General features: G+C 47.9%; 2 annotated features.

The window, feature by feature from the left end:
• Positions 425-544: an enhancer, noted in NCBI's record as "active region_693". NCBI's record gives its function as "activates an Ori minimal core promoter by ATAC-STARR-seq in GM12878 lymphoblastoid cells {active_cell/tissue: GM12878}" and the evidence as "EXISTENCE:reporter gene assay evidence [ECO:0000049][PMID:35858748]".
• Positions 595-644: an enhancer, noted in NCBI's record as "active region_692". NCBI's record gives its function as "activates an Ori minimal core promoter by ATAC-STARR-seq in GM12878 lymphoblastoid cells {active_cell/tissue: GM12878}" and the evidence as "EXISTENCE:reporter gene assay evidence [ECO:0000049][PMID:35858748]".

Genomic DNA, 2,138 nt, shown 5'->3' with positions numbered 1-2,138 from the left:
CAGGCATGGTGGCTCATGCCTGTAATCCCAGCACTTTGGGAGGCCGATGTGGGAGGATCACTTGAGCCCAGGAGTTTGAGACCAGCCTGGCCAACAAATTAGCCAGGCATGGTGGTGCATGCCTATCATCCCAGCTACTCAGGAGGCTGAGGCAGGAGGATCACCTGAGCCTGGGAGGTTGAGGCTGCCATGAGCCATGATTGCACTACTGCACTCCAGCCTGGGGGACAGAGTGAGACCCTCTCTTAAATACATAAATAAACAAACAGGAATAGCAAATGTAGCAAATGGCAAAGACAACAGGACCAGCTATTACCTTTAAGGTTGAAGGAGAGTACTCAAGGAAAGAAGAAACTTGCAAGAGGACTTCCTTTCCCATGCCCCACCAAAGACTGGGATTTAGACCTCTTCAGAGAGGATATGTCTGCCGCCTGCTGGATGGTGAAGTTCATTGAGGTGCCACAGGTGTGGGCTGGAAGATCTGTGGCCACCCACCAGGGTGCCAGCAAACTCACTGCAGGGTGGGCACCATTCCCCATGGAGCTGTACTGTAGGATGAAGAAGAAAGTTGCACTGAAGCCGGGCACGGTGGCTCAAGCCTGTAATCCTCGCACTTTGGGAGGCTGAGGCGGGTGGATTGCCTGAGGTCAGGAGTTCGAGACCAGCCTGGCCAACGTGGTGAAACCCCGCCTGTACTAAAAATACAAAAATTAGCCAGGCATGGTGGCGGGCTGAGACAGAAGAATTGCTTGAACCCCGGAGGCAGAGGTTGCAGTGAGCTGAGACCACGCTATTGCACTCCAGCCTAGGCAACGAGAGTGAAACTCTGTCTCAAAAACAAAAAAACAAAAAAAAACTTGGCCTGGCGCAGTGGCTCACGCCTGTAATCCCAGCACTGTGGGAGGCCGAGGTGGGCGGATCACATGTCAGGAAATCGAGACCATCCTGGCTAACACGGTGAAACCCCGTCTCTACTAAAAAATACAAAAAATTAGCCTGGCGTGTTGGCGTGAGAGCTGTAGTCCCAGCTACTTGGGAGGTTGAGGCAGGAGAATGGCGTGAACCCGGGAGGCGGAGCTTGCAGTGAGCCGAGATCGCGCCACTGCGCTCGAGCCTGGGCGACAGAGCGAGACTCCGTCTTTAAAAAAAAAAAAAAAAAAAAATTACACTGAAATCACTAAGCCCCTGCCTCTGCTATTGCAGTGTCCCTCTGGCGCCCTCTATTGACAGGGCCTAACATTGCTCTAGCTGGGAAAGAAGAAATGTTTATAGAGTCCAGCTGGTTGCACAAAGCAGGGCAAAAAAAGCTTAAGTTTGAAGTTAAGTGATGATAAATTGATAATTTGCATACATTTGAGGAATAAATGAATGTCTTCATCACCAAAACTGTAACTAACTAGGAGGATCATCGGTTATCTGAGATATTCAAGTGAGAAAAATATTTAAATTTAATAAAGAAAGATGTGGGACTCTTCATTGGAAGAAAAGGGGAAAATAGGCGGTTGGACAAACCGCTGGTGACCAGGGAGATAAAAGACTAATAGAAAGCAAAGAGGAGGGGCCTGGTGCGATGGCTTGCGCTTGTAATCTCAGCCCTTTGGGAGGCCAAGGCAGGAGATCGCTTGAGCTCAGGAGTTTGAAACCAGCCTGACCAACATGGCAAAACCCTATCTCTACAAAAAATACAAAAAATTAACCAGGCGTGGTGGTACGCACCTGTGGTCCCAGCTACTCGGGAGTACTACTTGAGCCTGGGAGACAGAGGTTGCAGTGAGCCAAGATCATGGCATTGCACTCCAGCCTGGGCGACAGAGTGAGACCCTCTCAAAAAAAAAAAAAAAAAAGCAAAGAGGAAACAAGAAGCTGGAACAGATACCTGTGAATTTGTACCAGCTCTTTAACAAATGTAATGATCTTACCCTCATCTTACTCATCTCAGAATTAGAAACTTATACTTTATATGTTTATTATTCCAGTGACTATAGTTCCCATACCACACTTCAAAACACATCATCTAACAATAACTGCAGTCATGCACCACATTTTGGTCAACAATAGACTGCATATACAACAGTGGTCTCTTAAGAATATAATGGAGCCGAAAGCTTCCTATTGCTTAGTGATGTTGTAGCTGCGGT

This window comes from Homo sapiens, chromosome 1 (genome assembly GCF_000001405.40).
Source record: "Homo sapiens chromosome 1, GRCh38.p14 Primary Assembly".
NCBI lineage: Eukaryota > Metazoa > Chordata > Mammalia > Primates > Hominidae > Homo > Homo sapiens.
The sequence above is the reverse complement of the archived record's forward strand: the minus strand, read 5'-3'. Positions and strand labels throughout refer to the sequence as shown.